This window comes from Homo sapiens, chromosome 3 (assembly GCF_000001405.40).
Source record: "Homo sapiens chromosome 3, GRCh38.p14 Primary Assembly".
NCBI lineage: Eukaryota > Metazoa > Chordata > Mammalia > Primates > Hominidae > Homo > Homo sapiens.
Window position 1 is genome coordinate 20,938,594 of NC_000003.12, and position 22,265 is coordinate 20,960,858.

Below are 22,265 nucleotides of genomic sequence, written 5' to 3' on the forward strand. Positions count from 1 at the left end.
ATTTGGATAAACATTTATCTGAATTTCTATTACATATATACCTGAGTGGAATTACTGGGTCATAAACTATATATATATGTTTAGCCGATCAGTTATCTAATGTAATTATATCAAATTACACTGCTACTGGTGGTATATGGGAGTTTCGTTTCTTTCACATTTGAAGCAACATTGTATATCACTGCCTTTTTCATTGAACTGTTCTGTGTGTGTAGTGGTATTACATTGTGTGTGTGTGTGTAACACTTTTATTAAGATACAATTGACTTAAAATAATCTGCACATAAAACACACCATTTGTTAAATTTTGGCGTGGGTACTGTATGCATCCTTGAAACCATTACCACAATCAAGGTAAAATAATAAATATACTCATTATCCCACAAATGTTTTCTCATGCCCTTTGTAGTTTCTCCCTTCCGCCACACCCCCACTCCCACGTCCAGTTTTTTGATTGTTTCAGGCAGAAGGGTAGATCTGATTCCTGTTACTTTTACCTTAGCAAAAGTGAAATTTGCACTGTGATTGTAACTTGCACTTCTCTGATGATTAATAAAATTGCATAGTGTTTGATGGACTTATTTTTGATAGCATTATCTTTTAGCTTTATTTTGACCATAAAGAAAAGCATAAATGGAAGAAAACTTGCTATAATCTCTAAGATAGCCACACAGATGGAAAGTTTATCATTTTATTGAATGAGATCATAGCTCAGCTGTCATCTTCACCTTGTATCAACGTATTTATATTTTATATACATTTATATACTTATCATATTGGGTATCCAAATGTCCCAATGATCTTATAAACAATGCTCTATAGATCTCAATTAAAAAATGTGATTAAATGATAAGGCAATGAGTTTCATAGGTCATAACATTTGGGGGTATTTGATTTGGCTACTTACTAACTAGAACTCTTATATTCTACTCTTGTTATGAAACAATTGACAAATAAGACCAAAAAAAAAGGAATGAGATAAACAAAAGTCAAAATGTCACCCTTATTAAGCAGATAATGGAGAAGATGATTTAGATAATTTTGCAATTCTAAACCAAGACTTAGACAGATTGCTGCACTGCATCCAGGCATAACTGGACTAAAGGCCTTTATTCACATGCAGGTAGGAAAGAGAGTGCGGGTCACACACATCAGACTTTCCCCCTAAAGACAAGAGTTTTATGAAATTCTTTCCTGTCCCCAGGGTAGCTGTGAGTGATAGGGTGAGAGAGCATTGTTATTGCCAGTGGAACTCAATGAATGGATGAAAACGTTGGAGGTTCCCAAGAGTGAGAAGCAGCTTTTTATTCTTTTAATCCACTGATTTAATCACTAAATCTTTGCTTAACTAAGAATGAGACTATCTGGAGATTTCTTTGAAAAGAAGAAAACAGTTCCAAAAAACATAAAATAAGGAGCCAATGTGGTGTAGTCTATGTGTCTATGTGCACTGCATATTGGAGCTACACTAGGAATATTGATAATATATAAACCATTAATACTTTTCTCCAAGCCTGGAACTCTTCCCTTGCCATAGACGTGCCTGCTTAGGAAAAGATGTGCTTATTATAATTCAAACTGTAGCAACTGCATCATGATATAATAAAATAGCTTCCATTTAGTGAGTATTTCCTATGTTCCAGGTATTGGTATCACTTACGTAAAGTACTTTTCGTTAACATTTTATATAGTAGGTATAATTATCCCTATTCGGTAGACATTGAAATAGACTCATAAATGTTAAGAAAATTGTGCAAGCACATACAGCCAGCAATGGATGAAGCTAAGATTCAAATTCAAGAATGTAAATATGATACTAATCAGCACATATAAGAAGATGTACAGAATAAGGTGCACAGAGACTCTGGAGTATCACATTGTCCATGAGAAAGGGCAATAAAAAAACATTCTCAGGTCTAATGGGACTTGATACCTGAGTGGAGCGATTTTAACTTGACCTTGGAGAGTGACAGCAACAAAGGCATTTAGAAATTTAAAAAAAAATAGCAGTCTTGTTAAAAAGTAAAAAATAAAACCAAAAAGTCAGCTGGGAATGGCTCCAAAACTTTTAAGAAAATTCCTGCAGCTCTCAGCTTCCAATAGCAATTTGAGGTCCCATTGCAAATGACATGTCTCAACATTAATGGCCTTTCTTAGCTTCTTTTCCTCCTTTGGCTTGTTAAGTCCTGGAAGAAACTTGGGTTTTGGAGGGGTATTTGGGTTATACTATTAAGGAAAACTAAGTGAATCATAATGGGAAATTCTTGACCTCTTTTACTAGAGGTTTGTTGGAGTATGATTCTTATTCTAGAAAGAAGATTAATAGGGGGATTTCTCCTATTACTCCTATGCTCTCAGAGACTTGGGAATTCTAAGGGTCACTTGATTCCTCTTCAGGGACCTACGAAGAGAAGATGTGTAGTGAAGTGCGTTGAAGACATTATTGCACAGTCTTTTATAGTTATCCTGCTACAAGCAAAGAGATAAAATGGAAATTGTCCCAAGCCTTGTCTCATATAATTTTATTTAATCTTTTCTTCTTAAAGAAAGCATAACCAAACACAGTGAAGAGACCTTTAGAAACTTCTATATCTAGTAAGCTGAATTAAGAAATGGTGATTAAATAAGTAATATTTATATTATTAGTACTGATCATTAATACTATTATTAATACTGCCCATTTTCTACATCTGCTTACTGGTTATTTTAATCATTTTAGAGTAGAAATAATAGTTATTGAGCTTAGAAATAGAAGTCAATGGAAATAAAGATCAATTATGGCTTGTCCAAGATTACAAAAATGTAACAGTTGTGAAAGGGTTAGTTTGGTTTCAGGTAATCTAAGTTGACTATCTTACAAAGTCCTTCATTGGTTATTTACAGGTAGTGATACTCTTTCTATGTGTCCAGAAGCATATGGGACACAGTTGCATTTTTAATACATCACATAAATAAATAGTGTAACAGCCACTTTGAAGGTGGTTGAAGGAGAATTAAGGTAAAGAAATTCAGATATAAAGATGGTTGTAGTGCTCTTTGTTTTAAATTTGAGTATGGTTTCATTCTTACCAATAAGAAAAAAATGTCATTTCATAAAAACTAGTAGAATTTTTTTAAATTAAAAAAGTGTATCTTACAATAATTTAAAAATTTATAGAAAAGTTGCAAAAAATTGGAGTCATATTATACTCTTCATCCTGTGTTATGGGCTTATTTATGTCTCCTCAAATTTATATGTTGAAATCTTAACTGTTAGTACCTCAGAATGTGACTGTATTTGGAGATAAGGCCTTTAAAGAGGTAGTTAAGGAATAATGAAGTTATAAAGGTGGGCCTTAATCCAATATGACTGGTGTCCTTATAAAAAGAAAACTAGGTCACAGTTACACAGACACAGAGACAACCCTGTGAGGACACAGTAAGAAGTCAGCCATGTGCAAGCCAAGGAATGAGGCCTCAGAAGAAACCAAATGTGCAAACACCTTTTTCTTGGATTTAAAGCCTCCAGAATTGTAAGAAAGTAAATTTCTGTTGTTTAAACCATCCAGTGCATGGTAGTTTTTCACGGCAACCCTTGTAAACTAATGTTTCTAGTTTTCTCCAGTGTTAATGCCTTGTATTATCATGGTACATTTTAAAAACTGACATGGATACATTACAATTAACTAAATTCCAGACTTCAACTTTCAACAGTTTTTCATTAATGTCCTTGTCCCGTTCCAGAATTCAATTCAAGTACCACATTGCATTTAGCTGTCTGATCTCCTCAGTCTTTTCTGGTCTATGGTGGTTTCTCAGTCTTTCTCCGAAAATTCAGTAGGATTTTGCCAGTGCAGAAAAACTATATGGAATATAGAAAAGGGGGAGGGTTAGATACGTTGCTTTCAAAAGTAAAGAGAGAAGAAAATGAAGAGGGGAAAGAGCCCAACTATTATTGTTGGGGAAAAGGGGATGTTTACAAAATTAGAATCTTATCTATCAAAATATATTGTAGGAGAAAGGAACAAATTCTTACAAATTACTTTGAAAGTTTCATACCTCTAGAAAAAGAGGAGAGTTTGGATTTGTGAAAGCATTTGGATTGTGAAAGATTTGTCCTGGAATTTAAGACATAGCTCTTCTTATGTCCTATTTAGACAAAAAAATTATGCAGTTACCCTAATGGCAATTCAATAGGGTGTGAAATCCTGTAACTCTCAGGAATTTCCAGATCATGTCTCTTTTCCCAGAGGCATGAAAAGACCATTTGATCCTTTACATGTTATTAAGTTGAAGGAAATAAAAGAAGCTAACACTGGAAATACGTCCTCTTTGATAGATTACTATTGGAGGAGTTCATTTAGCCACACGAGTCAGTCACTGAAAACAATGGGACTAAAAATTACTTTAATTTATGTCATCTTTAACATTGAAATATAACATCTTCACTGAACCTGATTGGAAAGCTAGTTCCTGTCTGAGTTTGGAAAGTCTTCACTGCCTTGACACAGTTTAAACTTTATTTGAACCTAAGTCTTGTAAAGTGTATTTAAAAACACAGAAATGGATATCTCTCACCTGGCTAATGTCTGACCCAATCAATGAGCTTGGAGCATTCTGAATCAATCAGAATTTTGGAAACAGAAGAAAACTAATTTTAGCTTGATTGACTATAATAGTATATCTTCAACTCTTTCTTTTTTCACATACTTTACATATTGCATCTGTTTAGGGATCTTTCTCAGTGGAGCAGTATATAAAACAGATGCAGACTGAAGGATGTTAGAAGCACAAAGAAGGTCATGTGCACGACATTCAGCTGAGTACAAAATTCAACATCTGGAAGAGGTGAGTTTTGATTCCAGTTCTGCCATTGCCTTGCAACATCACTTATGAAAAATCCATCCTTTCTTCTGGGCTCCAAAACCATTTCTTAAGAATGGGAAGCATCCTGACATAAATTTTATGAGTTGAACACTGAATGAAATAGCTCATCTCAAAAGGAGTGAAAATTCTTACAAAAACAATGTAAACTATTGTTAAATTTAGGCTAAGGTACACATAATCTATCTTTAGAAATTTTATTGATATTGGCCGGGCGCGGTGGCTCACGCCTGTAATCTCAGCACTGTGGGAGGCCGAGGTGGGCGGATCACGAGGTCAGGAGATCGAGACCATCCTGGCTAACATGGTGAAACCCCATCTCCACTGAAAATACAAAAAATTAGCCAGGCATGGTGGCGGGCACCTGTAGTTCCAGTTACTTGGGAGGCTGAGGTAGGAGAATGGCGTGAACCTGGGAAGCGGAGCTTGCAGTGAGCCAAGATCGCGCCACTGCACTCCAGCCTGGGTGACAGAGGGAGACTTGGTCTCAAAAAAAAAAAAAAAAAAAAAAGGAAAGAAATTTTATTGATATCATACTCTGCTTGGTAGTGTAATCTACATATTCTGCTCTAAGAATTTTTTCAAGATCTTTGGATAAGAAGTTGGGGAGACGCTCATTCCATGTAACTCCCTCAACAGATTATTCCTGTTCTGAGGCTTAGCCATATTGTTAATTCTAACCCTAAATTTGTGCTGTCCCATGTCATCACAAAACCTTTCCTTAATCTGATATTAAAAGTAATATATTTTATTTTAGAAAATACACAGTCTTAAAAATTAAATTACCTGTTATCTCCTTGCTCAGATTTAACCTCTTTTAACACTTTGTATTCTTTGTTTCCTTTTTTTGAGTAAATCTGTCTATATATAAATAATACATGAGGATATATGTGTAAATGTGACTGTATGTGTGTATCCTACACTTCTCTGGTTAATGCACGCTTTCACTTTTTAAGGCAGCTTGATTCCAATTTTTTCCAGGCTCTTTAAATTTTTAATGCTATGTCTGTCTCTTCCCTCTCAACACATTATCTCACTTTTAATATTGAGAAATAAGAAGCCATCAATTGGGAATTTTCTCAACTTCTTCCCACCAAACCTACAAATTTGGAACATCTTCAACTATCTTTCTATGCCATCCATTTACACTTGAGAACGTGTCTCTTCCCTTCCACGGACAATAGATTCAACTGTGCATATTCTGAAGAATCTTGTAATTGTTCTTTTAGAGTCTTCCTTTTTAATTAGTTCATTCACATTGGCATTTAACTTTTTTTCAGATGTAGAGTGTTATTTCTATGAGTTTCATGTGCATATTGGAGTTATTCATACTCCTCAGTTCATCACTGGCAATCAACAGTTTCACATTTTGTTCCTTCAAATCCTAATTCTGTTTTTTTTTTTTTTTTTTTTCAGCCAGGACTTGATCCAAACAGCTTATCGACACACACATTCTTATTCTTGTAAAATATATTAAGTATTTGTGGTGTTGAAAGTTTTTGCCTGAGATTAGAACAAAGGTATTATCAGAAGAATATGAAAATATTAGTTTTAGAACTAGTAGAGAAAAAACAAAGTGGAGTTTTTGTCTGTGTTACGTGGTCAAATGAACTTCCTTACAGTTTTGTCCACATATCATCTTGTATTTCTTGTTATTTCTTGCATTATCACACAGGGTGGAACCTCTAGTAAAATTCTGAATCACAGTTATTACATTAAACATTCTTACTCTATTCTCGGTCTTGGAGAAAGAACATTTAGTCTTTCACCGTCACTTATGATAATAGCCCCAGGTTTCTTTGTAGATCCCCCAACTTTTTCTTCAGGTGATCAATTTTCCCTTTTGTTCCTAGTTGAGTGATAATTTTCATCAAATTTTTTCAAATTTTGTCCATTGCATTTTCTGCATTTATTAAGAATATTATGTGTTTCTTTCTTCTTAAATCGGTTAATATGATGAAGTGTATTGACCAGTTTTCTATGTCAAATCTATCATGCATTTAGGGGATAAACCATATTTGGACATGATCTATTTATCATTTTCTGGATAATGGATTTAATATATATTCTGTCAAACAATTTCTTGTCTCCATTCCCAAAGAATATTGATCTGTAGTTTACTTGTGATGTCTTTGTCAAGTTTCATACAGAGTATGTCTGAGATCATAAAATATATTGAAATATGTTTTTGTATCTTTCGTTTTCTGCAAAAGTTCGTGTAGAATTGGTATTTCTTCTTTAAATGTTTGTTAGAAGTCACCACTTAAGACATCTGGGGCTAGAATTTTTCTTGTGCATTTTATAAACAATTTAATAGCTGTAGGATCTGAAATAATAGCCTCTCCTTTAATCTTTTCCCTCTTTCAATCTTTTTCTAGATTCTTAAGTTAGAAACTCAGATGATTGACTTGAGATATTTCTTTTTTTCTAATATAATTGTTTAGTAATATTATTTCCTTCCTAAAAAACTTAACTGCATCTTACACACCTTAATTTGCTATGCTTTGATTTTCATTTAGTTAATTTTTTTCTAATATTTTTCTAATTTTCTTTGTGATTTTCTTTCATCCATGAGTTATTTTGAAGTTTGTAGTTTAATTTCAAAATACTTGGCAATTTTCCAGATATCTTTTTTATATCAATTTCTAGTTTAAATCAGTTTTGGTCATAAAACACACTTTTCATTATTTCAGCCCTCTTAAACTGAACAAGATGTGTTTTATGGCCCAGACCTATATATGACCTATATATGTTCTATCTGGATGAATATCACATATTTATTTGAAAAGCATGTGTAGGCTATTGTTGTTGGGGGCATTGTTCTATACAGGTTAATTAGATAAACTTTTCTGATAGTGATGTTAAATTCTTCCATATCCTTACTAAATGCCTATCTACTTTTTGTATTAAGTAGTGAGAGAGGAGGATTAACATTCTCAACACTATTTATGAATTTCTATATTTCTTCTTTTAGTACTATCATTTTTTGCTTTCTTTATCTTTAAATGTTATTAGGTGCATGAACATTTAAGAATTTTTATATTCTCTTCATGAATAAACCCCTTTATTATTATAAAATTTTTCTCTTTAACTCTGGGATTGTGCCTTTCTCTGAAATCTTTTGGTTAATATTAATAGGATACTCTATATTTCTTTCAATTTGGGTTTTCACGGTCTAGATTTTTTACTATTTTTTATTTTTTTATTTTTAACTTTTAGGTTCACTGGTACATTTATAGCTTTGATAGATAGGTAAACTCATGTCATGGGGGTTTGTTGTACAGATTATTTCATCACCCAGGTCCTAGGCCTAGTACTCAATAGTTATTTTTTCTGATCTTCTCCCTCTTCCCCTGTTCCACCCTCAAGTAGGCCCCACTGCCTGTTGTTCCCCTCTTTCATCATTCAGCCCCCACTTACAAGTGAGAACATTTGGTTTTCTTTTCCTGCATTAGTTTGCTAAGAATAAAGGCCTCCAGCTCCATCCATGTTCCCACAAAAGATATGATATTTTTCTTTCTTATGGCTGCTTAGTATTCCATGGTGTATATGCACCACATTTTCTTTATCCAGTCTGTCATTGGTGGGCATATAGGTTGATTCCATGTCTTTGCTGTTGTGAATAGTGCTGTAATAAACATTTGTGTGCCTGTGTCTTTATGGAAGAATAATTTATATTCCTTTGGGTACATACTCAGTAATAGGATTGCAGGGTCAAAGGGTAATTCTGTTTTTAGCTCTCTGAGAAATTTCTACTCTGCTTTCCGCAATGGTTGAACTGATTTACACTCCCACCAATCTTACCAGCATCTGTTATTTTTTTGACTTCTTAATAAAAGACATTCTGACTGTTGTGAGATGGTATCTGATTGTGGTTTTGATTTGGATTTCTCTAATCAACAATATTGAGATTTTTTTTTCATATTATTGTTGGCTGAATGCATGTCTTCTTTTGAAAAATGTCCGTTCATGTCCTTTGCTCACTTTTGAATGGGGTTATTTGTTTTTTTCTAATAAATGTACTTAAGTTACTTATAGATACTGGATATTAGACCACTGTCAAATGCAAAGTTTGCAAATATTTTCTCCATTATGTAGGTTGTCCGTTTACTCTGTTGATAGTTTCTTTTGCTGTGCAGAAGCTCTTAAGTTGCATTAGATCCCATTTGTCAATTTTTGCTTTTGTTGTGATTGCTTTTGGTGTCACCATCTTGAAATATTTACCCATTTGTATGTTCAGAGTGGTATTGCCTAGGTTGTTTTCCAGGGTTTTTATAGTATTTTATAGTATTACATTTAAGTCTTTAATCTATTTTGAGTTGATTTTTGTACATGATATAAGGAAGGGATCCAGTTTTAATCTTCTGCATATGGCTAGCTCATTATCACAGCACCATTTATTCAATAGGAAGTCTTTTCCCCATTGCTTTTTTTTTTTGGCAGCTTTGTCAAAGATCACACAGTTGTAGGTGTGCAGCCTTATTCGTGGGCCCTCTATTCTGTTCCATTGGTCTATGTGTCTGTTTTTGTACCAGTACCATGCTGTTTTGGTTACTGTAGCTCAGTAGTATAGTTTGAAGTCAGAAAACGTGATGCCTCCAGCTTTGTTCTATTTGCTTAGGATTGTGTTGGCTATTCAAGTTCTTTTTTTATTCCACATGAATTTTAAAATAGTTCTTTTCTAGTTCTCTGAAGAATGTCATTGGTAGTTTGATAGGAATAGCATTGAATCTATAAATTGCTTTGGGCAGTATGGCCATTTTAATACTGATTCTTCCTATTCATGAACGTGGAATGTTTTTCCATTTGTTTGTGTCATCTCTGATTTCTTTGAGCAGTGTTTCATAATTTTCATTGTAGAGATTTTTCATCTCTCTGGTTAACTGTATTCCTAGGTATTTTATTCTTTTTGTGGCATTTGTGAATAAGATTGCATTTCACATTTGGCTCTCAGCTTGGCTGTTGCTGATGTATAGAAATGGTAGCAATTTTTCTACGTTCATTTTGTATACTGAAACCACTGAAGTTGTTTATCAGCTCTGGGAGCTTTGCGGCTGCAACTATGGGGTTTTCTAGACATAGAATCATGTCATCTGCAAACAGTGATAATTTGACTTCCTTTTTTCCTATTTGAATGGCTTTTATTTATTTCTCTTGCCAAATTGCTCTGGCCAAGACTTCCAATACTATATTGAATAGGAGGGGTGAGAGAGGGCATCCTAGTTTTGCTTGTTTTGCTTGTTTTGTGCTGGTTTTCAAGGGGAATGCTTCCAGCTTTTCCCCATTCAGTGTGATATTGGTTGTGAGTTTGTCATAGATAGCTCTTATTATTTTGAATTATATTCCTTCAAAACCTAGTTTACTGAAAGTTTTAAACAGGAAGGGATGTTAAATTTAATTGAATGCCTTTTCTGCATCTATGAGATAATCATGTGGTTTTTGTCTATAGTTCTGTTTATGTGATGAATCACAATTATTGATTTGTATGTGTTCAACCAACCTTGCATCACACGGATGAAGGCTACTTGATTGTGGTGGATTGGCTTTTTGATGTACTGCTAGATTCAGTTTGCAAGTATTTTGCTGAGGATTTTTGCAATGGTGTTCTTCAAGGATAGTGGCCTGAAGTTTTCTTTTTTTGTTGTGTCTCTGCCAGGTTTTTGTATCAGGATGATGCTGGCTTTATAAAATGAGTTGGGGAGAACTCCCTCCTCCTCAATTTTTTGGAATAGTTTCAATAGAAATGGTACTAGCTCTTCTTTAGTTCTGTATATTTTCCTCTTAAAACTGCCTTAGCTGTGTCCCAGAGATTCCAGCTTATTGTGTCTTTGTTCTCATTAGTTTCAAATAACTTCTTGATTTTTGCTTTATTCACTCAAAGGCCATTCAGAAACATGTTATTTAATTTTCATGTTATTACATGGTTTTGAGTGTTTGTTTGAGTCTTGGCTTCTATTTTTATTGCACTGTGGTTCGAGAGTATATCTGGTATGATTTCAATTATTTTGCATTAGCTGAGGATTGTTTTATGTCTGATTATGTGGCCTATTTTAGAGTATGTGTCATGTGACGATGAGATTGTGTGTTGCTTTTGGTTGGAAAGTTCTGTAACAGTCTTTCAGATCTGTTTGGTCCAACCTGGTCTTGGTTGAAGACCAGGTTCTGAATAGCTTTGTTAATTTTCTGCCTCAATGATCTGTCTAATATTGTCAGTGGTGTGGTGAAGTCTCCCACAATTATTGTGTGGGAGTCTACATTTTTTCATAGGTTTCTAAGAATTTGCTTTATGAATCTGGATGCTCATGTGTGTTGGGTGCATATATATTTAGTATAGTTAGGTGTTCTTCTGAATTGAACCATTTGCCATTATGTAATGTCCTTCCTTTGTCTTTTTGGATCTTTGTTGTTTTTAAGTCTGTTTTGTCTGAAATTAAGATTGCAACCCCTGCTTTTTTCTGTTTCCCATTTGCTTGGTGTATTTCCCTTCATCCCTTTATTTTGAGTCTATGGGTATTATCTGCATGTGAGATAGGTCTTTTGAAGAGAGCATACCATTTGGTCCTGTTTTTTTTTTTTTTTTTTTAATCCAGCAGTTCACTCTGTGTCTTTTAAATAGGGTATTTAGCTTTCTTATATTCTGGGACAGTATTGATATGTGAGAATTTGATACTGTCATTGTGTTGTTAGCTGGTAATTATGCCAGCTTGTTTGTGTGTTGCTTTATAGTCTCACTGGTTTGTGTACTGAAGTGTGTTTTTGTATTGGCTGGTAATAATCTTTCTTTTCCAAATTTAGTGCTCCTTTCAAGATTTCTTTTAAGGCAGGTCTGGTGGTAACAAACTCCCTCAGCATTTGCTTCTCTGAAAAGGATTTTATTTCTCCTTTGCTTAGGAAGCTTAGTTTGGCTGAATATGAAATTCTTGGTTGAAGATTTTTTTTAAAAGAATGTTGAATATAGGCTCCAGTCTCTTCTGGCTTGTAGGGTTTCAGCTGAGAGGTCCGCTGTTCGCCTGATGGGGTTCTCTTTGTAGATGACCTGCCCTTTCTCTCTAGCTGCATTTAACATTCTTTCTTTCATTTCTCCCTTAGAAAATCTGATAATTATGTGTTTTGAGGATGATCTTCTTAGACAGAATCTTGCAGGGGTTCTTTGTATTTCCTGAATTTGACTGTTGGCCTCTCTGGGAAGGTTGGGGAATCTTTATGGACAATATCCTGAAATATGTTTTCCAAGTTGTTTGCTTTCTCCCTGTCCCTTTCCAGGATATACTGATTAATAGATTTGGGCTCTTTATATAATCACATATTTTTTGGAGGTTTTGTTTATTTTTTCTTATTATTTTTTCTTTATTTTTGTCTGACTGTCTTATTTCAGAGATCAGTCTTCAAGTTTTGAAATTCTTTTCTCAGCTTGGTCTATTCTGCTATTAATGCTTGTGATTGCATTGTGGAATTCTTTAAGTGTGTTTTTCAGCTCTATCAGATTAGTTAGGTTCTTTTTTATACTGGCTATTTTGTCTATCAGTTCCTATATTGTTGGGGAGGTTCCCCTAGATCTGTGTCACTCCCAGGTCATTCTGCCTTGCTTTTCTCCATTCTCCATGGGTCAAGTTGTTTCCTCAATGAGTCTCAATGCAGGTACCTGGATGTTTCAGTTGAAGGTGCTATATTTACTTGCCCCTTTCATTTCTCTCCAAAACAGTGGTCTACACTAGCTACTTCTAGTCAGCCATCTTGGCCACCCTCATTATTTTACTTTCAATCTATATATGTCTTCGCATTTAAAGTGTGTTTCTGCCGGGCGCCGTGGCTCACGCCTGTAATCCCAATACTTTGGGAGGCCGAGGCAGGTGGATCATGAGGTCAAGAGATCAAGAGCATCCTGGCCAACATGGTGAAACCCTATCTCTACTAAAAATACAAAAAAAAAAAAGCTGGGCTTGGTGGCACACACGCCTGTAGTCCCAGCTGGGACTACTACTGGAAGGCTGAGGCAGGAGAATCGCTTGAACCTGGGAGGCGGAGGTTACAGTGAGCTGAGATTGCGCCACTGCACTCCAGCCTGGCAACAGAGCGAGACTTCGTCTCAAAAAAAAAAAAAAAAAAAGATACAGATTAAAGTGTGTTTCTTATAGACAACATTTGGTTAGATTTTTGTTTTTAATCCCATGTGACAGTTTCTCACTTTTAATTAAAATGTTTAGACTATTACAGTTAATATAACTGAATAAAATTATTGACATTTTTGGGTTCAAATCTTACATGCTGTTATTTTTCCTCTATCTATCTACTCCTCTTTTCTTTTTCATTTTTTTCTACATTCTTTTATTATTCTGCTTACCTACACTATTGGTTTAGTAAGTAAACACCATTGTTTAATTTTTAACAGTTTTTCTAAGGTTCACCTATAAATCTTTAAACTATAACAGTCTAAATTCATATAGTATAATTCCAGCATATGTATAGTATAAAATCTTATAAAAGTATACTTTTAATCTTCTATCTTTTTTGTGAACTTTAGTAAACATTTTACTTCTACAACATCTAAAAACCTAACAGTATTTTATGATATTTATAATTTTTGCTTTAAATAGTCAAATATATTTTTAAATGTTTTTCAAATATGAAGGTGTAATAAAGACTTCTTCAGGCAAACATGTTGAGAGATTTATCACCAGCAAACTATTATTATAAGAAATCTTAAATAAAGTTATTTAAGGAGAATACCAACAAAAATTTAGATCTACACAAAGAAATGAAGAGTATATATATGTCTTAAAATATATTTGACTGTTTAAAGAAAATGTGTTGTATATACATATTAGAACACTATTGAGCCATAAAAAGAAACAAAATTATATCATGTGCTGTAACATGGATGAGCTTGAAGGACTTTATGTTAAGTGAAACAGCCAGACATAGAAAGATAAATACTGCATGTTCTGACCCGTATATGAAAGATAAAAAAGTTGATTTCATAGAAGTAGAAAGTAGAATAGTGAATACTAGAGGTGGGGAAGGGTAGGGAGGAGGGGAGATAGCCATAGCATGGTTAACAGATACAAAAGTATAGCTAGATAGGAGAAATAAGTTGTAGCATTCTGTAGCACTATAGGATGACTATAATTGACAACAATTTATTGTATATTTTTAAATAGCTAGAAGTGCAAATTTTGAATGTTCCCAACACAAATTATTACACATTGTATACATGTATTATTGATTATTGATTATTACACATTGTATACATGTATCAAAATATCACACTGTATTCCATCAATATGTATAATTATTATGTATCAATCAATAATAATAAAAGCAAAAAGCTTAAATATATATATTTCCACATTTTAACTATTTGTTACACTGTTCATTTCCTTGTGTAGATCCAAATTTTTATCTGGTATTCTCCTTAAAAAACTTTAAGATTTCTTGTAACAACTGCTGCTGGTGATAAGTTCTTTCAACATATGTTTGCCTAAAAGAGTCTTCACGCTACCTTCAAAATTGAAAAAAAGTATTTTCACTTAATAAAGCATTTCTTGTTTTTTTTTAAATTTTTCCACTTATGCAGATGTTTTTGCATTGTATTTTGACTTACACAGCATTTGATGAGAAGTCTGTTTTCATTCTTGTTGTTTTTCTTCTATTTTTAATGTATCTTTTTCTATGTCTGCTTTTCAGAGTTTCTCTTTATTGCTAGATTTCAGCAGTTTGATTACAATTTACCTTGATTTGGTTTTCTTTAAGTTTCCTCTAAGTGAGAGGTTTATTGAGCTTTCTAACTCCATGGATATGCAGTTTTCATCCAATTTGAAAAAAAAAAATTGTGAATATTCCTTCAGGTGTTATTTCTGTTGTCTCATATTTCTCTTTTTTTTCTGAAATTCTAGTTACACACAAGTTATCTCATTTTATATTGTACCACTGATTACTGGTATTTTTTTTTGTATTTCAATCTTTTTCTTCCTTCTTCATTTTGGTTAATTTTTATTGCTATTTTTACAACGTCATTAATCACTGATCATTTGTTCTGTAATGTCTTTTCTCTTAACTTCATCCACCGTATTTTTCATTTCACAAATTACATTTTCTCACCTCTAAAATTTTTATTTGCACATTTTATACCTTAATTTTCTCTCTTTATTATAGTAATATTTTCTACTTTCTCAAATATATAGAATATCTTTATAATATCTGCTTTAACAGCTTTGTCTGCTATTCCCACTGTACCTCATTCTTAGTTCTATCATTGATTTTTATCCTAATTAATAGCTATCAATTCCTGTTTCTTTGTGCGCCTGATAATGTTTTATTAGATGCCAGATATTGTGAATTTTCTTATTCTTTCTGTTTTGTTGTATCCCTTTAAAGAGCATTGGTTTTTGTTCCAATAAATTTTTGGAAAATAGCTAGATCTTTTTGAATTTGTTGAATTATTTAAAGCTTTGCTCTTAAGCTTTGGTAGGACAGGTTCAGAGCAGCTTTAATCTAAGGTTAAAATAATCCCACTTACTAAGGCAATACTTTGTTTTTTAGACGGAGTCCGGGTCTGTCGCTAGGCTGGAGTGCAGTAGCGCGATCTCGGCTCACTGCAACCTCCTCCTCCCGGGTTCAAGCGATTCCCCTGCCTTAGCCTCCTGAGTAGCTGGGACTACAGGCGCAAGCTAACACGCCAGGCTAATTTTTTTTTTTTTTTTTTGGATTTTAGTAGAGACAGGGTTTCACCATGTCACCATGTTGGCCAGGATGGTCTCGATCTCCTGACCTCGTGATCCGCCTGCCTCGGCCTCCCAAAGTGCTGGGATTACAGACGTGAGCCACTGCGCCCAGCCAGGTAATACTCTTCTACATTTTCTATATGATGCCCTCATGAGTTACAATTATTCCTAGCCCTGTGTGAGCTAGTGGAATTGTTAGACCTACTCCTTTGTACTACTCCCCTCTGGGGGTTCTTTTTCGAGTCTTGGGTAATCTTTTCTCCCATTGCAGATATCCATATTTACCTAAATACCCCAGCGGTCCATCTTCAGATTTTCAGCTCTCTCTCTCTCTCTCTCTCTCTCCCCCCACTATTTTTCTTTCTCTCCAGCTCCCTAGTCTCCAGTACTTCACCCTACAAGTTCTGGCCAACTTGGCCTTGCCAAACTCCAAAATCTGTTTCCTCAATTGAGTGATATTTCCAGACTTTGTTTGGGTACATCTCACTCTGCTGTGCCTTAAAAATTGCCTTTCAGGTAGTAAGTTGGTACAACCATAGGCTCACATTGTTGCTTTGTCTTTTCTTAGGGATTATAGTCCTGCATTACATACGGTCTGATGCCTGAAATTATTATTTTCCATATATTGTCTAGTAAGGTAAATCTGAAGTCTTACTATACTCCTTTTGCATAACTCCGCTCTGCCATTATGCTGTGTAATTTTCATTAACATGCTTTCTTTTTCCTCCTTTTCTCTCTCTCATTAAATGGCTCAATATTTTTTTCAGCTCTTTTGAAAATTCAAAGTCCATTTTATTTAATCTACTTTATTTTCCTTTAGGTAGTTATCCTTAATTAATTATAATCAATATTTTGGGTTATTTTTACCCATCATTTTGTTAAATTTACCAATATCTATATTTTGCCTCAAACTAGATACTCTGGCAAGTTATCTTTTTCCTCTTGTTTTTCACCGACCTGCCCCTGTTGCCTAACATTATATTTTTATCTAAAACTTCATATCTGGATTGTTATCACTGTACAATTTGGATTTGTTTATTTAGATAATAGTTGACATAATTATGATATTTTATTACCCACTTTAGAGCATCCTCCTATTTTTATTTACATCTTTCTGGTATACCTCCTCCAACAACACTTTCAGAGAGGGTCATTGTGTGATAAAGTCGTTGAAGCCTTTTATGAGTGAAAACATTACTCTTCTTTTGCTTTTTTGGATCTAAAGTTATCTTTAAATTTGCCCTGAACATATGAGGGGGCTCAAAAAGTTCACAGAAAAATGTGTATTGTGAAAAAACTATGCATGGATTTCAAAATATTTCTGGCACCAAAATAAGCTTACACTAACTTGTTATAACATGTCTGAACAGGATCTAGTTTGAAGCATTAAGAAAGATAAGACATCAGTTTGAAAAGAGCCCCCATTGTAGCAACATGAATTCAGCTGAAATTGAAGCAGGAACTTCAATTGTGGTGAAGCTTGGGTGAAAGAATGGTAAAATAATTGATGCTTTACAAAAAGTTTATGGGGACAATGACCCAAATAAATCAACAATTTACAGATGAATAACTCATTTTAAGAAGAACAAGATGATGTTGAAATGAAGCCCACAATAGCAGACCATCCACATCAATTTGTGAGAAAAAAATTAATGTTGTTTGTACTCTTGCGCTGATTGAAGAGAACTGACAATTAACCGGAGAAAAATAGTCAACACCATAGATATCTCAATTAGTTCAACTTACACAATTCTGACTAAAAAATTAAAGTTGAACACATTTTCCCCTCAATGGGTGCTAAAACTGTTGTGCTCATATCAAGACAGAGAACAAGCTCTGTCTTGTGCAGACAAGAGCAGAGCTTTCAATGGAAATTTTTAAAAAGTGGGATCAAGATCCTGAAGCATGTCTCTGAAGAAGATCCTGAAGCATGTCTCTGAAGACCTATAATAGGAGATGAAACATGACTTTACCAGTACAACCTTGAAGACAAAGCACAATCAAAGCAATGGCTACCAAGATGTAAAAGTGGTCCAGTCAAAGCAGAAGCAGACAGGTCAAGAGCAGAAGTTATGGTAACAGCTGAAGTGCCAAAGAATAATAACATCTGCTTATTATGGGAGTGTTTTGAAAAAGTTAGCAAAAACTTTAGCAGAATTAGCAAAAGCTTTAGCAGAATTAGCAAAAGCTTTAGCAGAAAAATACCCATGAAAGCTCCAACAGAGTCTCTTGCCACCACAACAAAGCTCCTGCTCATTCCTCTCATCAAACAAGAGCAATTTTGCTAGAGTTTCAATGGGAAACATTAAGCGTTCACCTTACAGTTCTGATTTGACTCTTTCTGATTTCCTTTAGTTTCCTAATCTTAAAAAAAAAAAAAACAGTAAAGATCACTCATTTTTCTTTAGTTAGTAATGTAAAAAAAAAAAATGCATTATATGGTTGAATTCTGAGGACCCCTCAATTCTTTAGGCGTGGGCTAAATGGCTGGGATCATTACTTACAAAAGTTTCTTGATCTCAGTGGAGCTTATGTTGGGAAATCACGGTGATATTTTTAATTTTCAACTTTTAATTCCATTTTTCCATGAACTTTGTAAAGCCCTTCATATTATTCCATACTCTTATTTATCTAGCACAGTTGCCAGTTAGTTTCTTGTCCAGTGGTCAGTGTTGTACTGTTACTTTACTAAAATGTATCGAAGTTTCTCTTTGTGTTTGATACTCTTAATTTTTTACATTGTGGCTGGGCACAGTGGCTCATGCCTATAATCCCAACACTTTGGGAGGCCAAGGCAGGAGAATTATTTGAGCCCAGGAGTTTAAGGCCAGCCTGGACAGCATAGTGAGATTCCATCTCTACAACAAAGTTAAAAAACAAAAGTGCTGGGCATGATGGTACATGCCTGTAGCCCAGTTACTTGAGAAGCTGAGGTGGGAGAATCACTGGAGCCTGAGAAGTTGAGGCTGCAGTGAGCCGAGATCATGCCACTGCACTCCAGCTGAGTCAAAAATACGTGATGAGGTATTGAGCAGAAAATATATTCTAATGTAGTGGCTACGGGGAATTAGTGAGAATGACACAGCTTTGGTCTCATTAAATATTACAGACCATGCCTGTGTGGAAATTCTCCTATTATCCTCACGCTATTTGTGGAGATTGGTGGACATTTTATATAGTGTTTTTCTATATACAGTTCTGCTATTCTGCCTAAGGGCTTTATTATAACTTTTCTTAATGAAAATAAATTCCATCTGTAATATGAAAGTTCATTGACTAATGCTTGTTTCTGTTTTAATTTGGGAATTTTTTAATGTATAATTTGGTAGGAATGTAGGAAAGGCCAAATCAGGCACTGCTAGAATTTTACCATAAAAATCTGGAAACCTTAACATTTCTGTGCCTCATACATGTGATTCACTCCCTTCTATAGTTCCTTTTGAGTCCTGTACTGGACAACTGTTGTTTTGTTTTACTTTCCCATCTTTCTTCCATTCTTTTTCTTGGGAACTACTGCCTCTCCATTCCCTGTGTAGCGGTAGTCATCAATGTGCTTCCTTTTGCCAGTAGCTCATCCTACCTCAGGTAGGGGGTGAACACTATCTTTTGTAAAGTGTAGACAATGAGATTCTGTCCTGGGAATTTGCATCTTTAACAAACTGATAAAATAATGGAAAATGTTGAAGAATTTTAGAGGGTCCCTATTCCTGTCCTTTCCAAGGCATGTTTGTAAAATCTTTAATCTATGAGTGACTTGCCATCCTTCCAATAAATTTCTTTTTTTTTCTTATGTAAGCCAAAATGTATTATTTTCTTGGAAAGAAAGAATTTAACTGATAATGAGATTTGTGTCAAAGAGTTGGCTGCAGGAAACAGATCCTCTGAGACACTGCAATGTTTGGAATTAGTTTTTGAATAGAGATAAAATGAAAGACATTACGACTTTTCTCATTTTTATGGAAGTAAATTAGCATCCCATGGCACACAATTCAGAAACAGCTAATTATGGTCTGTCAACAACTGAAATCATGTAGGTAGCTCTAGGATACCAGGTAGATGTTGCCATAACAAAATTTAATGGGAGATAAATTGTAAGAAAAAAATCACAGTGTAAGATATTTGTTTCGGATAAGAATAGATAATTCAAAGCAAGAGAATGACAAGAAACAAGGTCAAAAGTCTTGCCTTAAGGCAAAGAATGACACTCAGTTGTGAAAGTATTACATACTCCTTGTATGTTCAGATCTGTGAGTTTATAAATACTAAAGGCAAATTCAGTGATTAATGTCAAGTTGCTGAGTTCTAAAAGTAGGATTCACAACCTCTTAAGCTTCTTATGTGAAAGTTATGTTATTGATCAAGAATACATTGAACCCTAACAGTTGAAATGAAAATATTTAAGTATTCCAGTGAGTCACTGCAATACTCTGAAAAAGTTCAGCTGCATTTTCCAAGTCTGATGATTAAGTTTTGCTTTTAAGAGAAAGTTAAAATGGTTCTCTTTCATTGTTTCTTACCCTGTAACTAAATCCTGGCTTCATTGTACCCTGAGAAAATATTTAGAATCAGAGTGTTTAAGAAAAAGAGAGACAGAGAAGGGACATAGGGAGGGAAAAATAGAGGAACTTCTTGTTTACAATCTAAGTGCTGTGGTTTTGATAATTGTACTACAGTTATATAGGATATTAACCTTAGATGAAGCTGGTGAATGATAAATGGGAAGTCTCTGTTAGTAAATATGTATCAGTTTGCTAGGGTTGCTATAACAAAATACCACAAACCAAGTGACTTAAACAACAGAAAGTTATTTTTCACAGCTCTACAGGCTGGAATTCCAAGATCAACATGGCAGACTTGGTTTCTCCTGTGGCTTCTCTCCTTGGCTTGGCAATGCCTGCCTTTTTATGTGTGCTTACCTGGTCTCTCTGTGCATCCATGGTGTCTGTGTATTCAAATTTCCTACAAGGACACCAGTTAGATTGCATTAGAGCCCACTCCAGTGGCCTCATTTTAACTTAATCACCTCATTGAAGGCCCTATCTCCAAACAAAGTCACATTTTGAAGTACTGAGAGATAGGGCTTCAACATACAAATTTTGCTGTACACAATTCAGCCCATAACATAGTCAAAAGTTATTTCAAAGAAGAAGTTTTTAAAAATCTGGGTATTATTTATGAGATTGGATATTAAGATAATTGCACCAATAAAACAAATTCCATATGACTAGATTCATTGATGTGGGTAAACTGGCCAAAGTCTCCCTTCAAGGATCCAACAGGGGCCACACACTAATGTAATTGCTTGCTGAGTTGAATATTGCCAACCTGCATTAGCCTAACTAAATGGCATTTAAGAGCCAGAAATGTTTCTTGTCATAATCTATAGGAAAGCATTGAAAATATTCTGGAATTTAAACAACCAAAAGTGGTTGTTTAATCTTTATTCATCTATGATGAGCTGCAGCTGAACCCAGGAAACTTTACCTACAGCTTTGGCTAAAGAATTAATTACGGGGTAAAAATACCAAAATATTTTCAAAACGCTCTAGGGCCTGTTCTTTAAATGGTCTAAATTCTGGGGGAAAGAGTTGCTGTTGAGTGGGCTTTCCACTGTCTGGAACCTGGCAGAAATACAGGTTTTTGACCTAGGAATAGCCTAAGTCAAAACAGCTGCACATACTGAGAAGGCATTGTTTTCAGAACATGGAGTCAGGAAGGGAAGTGTTTTAATTGTAGGCTTGTTCTCATCAACTTTTTTCATGTGTGCTTTGTTCACAAGTTTAGAAAAATGTTGTCATGTAGAAATTATTGAATAAAGGTATAAACTATAATAATATCTGAGTTTTAAGGAGGGCTTACTACATGCCAAAACTTTTTTTTAAAGATCTCTTATGTGTTAACTCATGGAATCATCAAAACTTCTCTATTAATATTGGGCCTTTATTTTCTCCACAGTGCACATAGGGAACAATTATTTTCCCATTATTTCCTAGGTGATTACTGGTACAACTAAGACTTGACCCCAAGTTCAAGATAGGCTCAAAAGCCCATGTTCCTTAAAACTATTTATATTATTCTTAGCATTTCCAGAAAGAACCTGTGGACTTTTATCCACATAACTATATTCTCATCTGGAAGATTAGATGGCTAAAGTGAGAATCTGTAAAAATTTCCTACTAAACTAGCTGGAAAGTTAGGGATCTGGAAAGAGTAATATTGATTGTGTGAAAGGAAAATAAAACTTGGAGCCCCCAAATCACTAAGCTAAATGGAGAAGTCAAGCTGGGAACTGCTTAGAGCCAACCTGCTTCTCATTCTATTCAAAGTCACCCCTCTGCTCACTGAGATAAATGCGTATCTGATTGTGTTCTTTGGAGAGGCCGATCAGAAACCCAAAAGAATGTAACAATTTGTCTCTTCTCTACCTATGACCTAGAAGCCCCCTCCTTGCTTTGAGTCTTCCCACCTTTGCTTTGAGTTGTCCTGCCTTTCCAGACTGAACCAGTGTTCATCTTACATATGCTGATTGATGTCTCATGTCTCCTGAAAATGTATAAAATCAAAGTATGCTCTGACTACCTTGGGCACATGTCATCAGGGCCTCCTGAGGCTGTGTCATGGGCGTGCATTCTCAACCTTGGCAAAATAAACTTTATAAATTAACTAGACCTGTCTCAGACA

General features: G+C 34.7%; 1 long non-coding RNA gene across 1 annotated transcript in view; it reads left to right on the forward strand.

Moving 5' to 3' along the window:
• LOC107986068 (uncharacterized) overlaps positions 1 to 18,309 on the forward strand; it is a 51,383-nt gene extending 33,074 nt beyond the window's left edge. The window contains exons 2-3 of the long non-coding RNA XR_001740619.2: positions 4,712 to 4,827; positions 15,575 to 18,309. This is a non-coding gene — a long non-coding RNA (uncharacterized LOC107986068). The remainder of the gene's footprint in view (positions 1 to 4,711; positions 4,828 to 15,574) is intronic.
• The last annotated feature ends 3,956 nt before the right edge of the window (positions 18,310 to 22,265 follow it).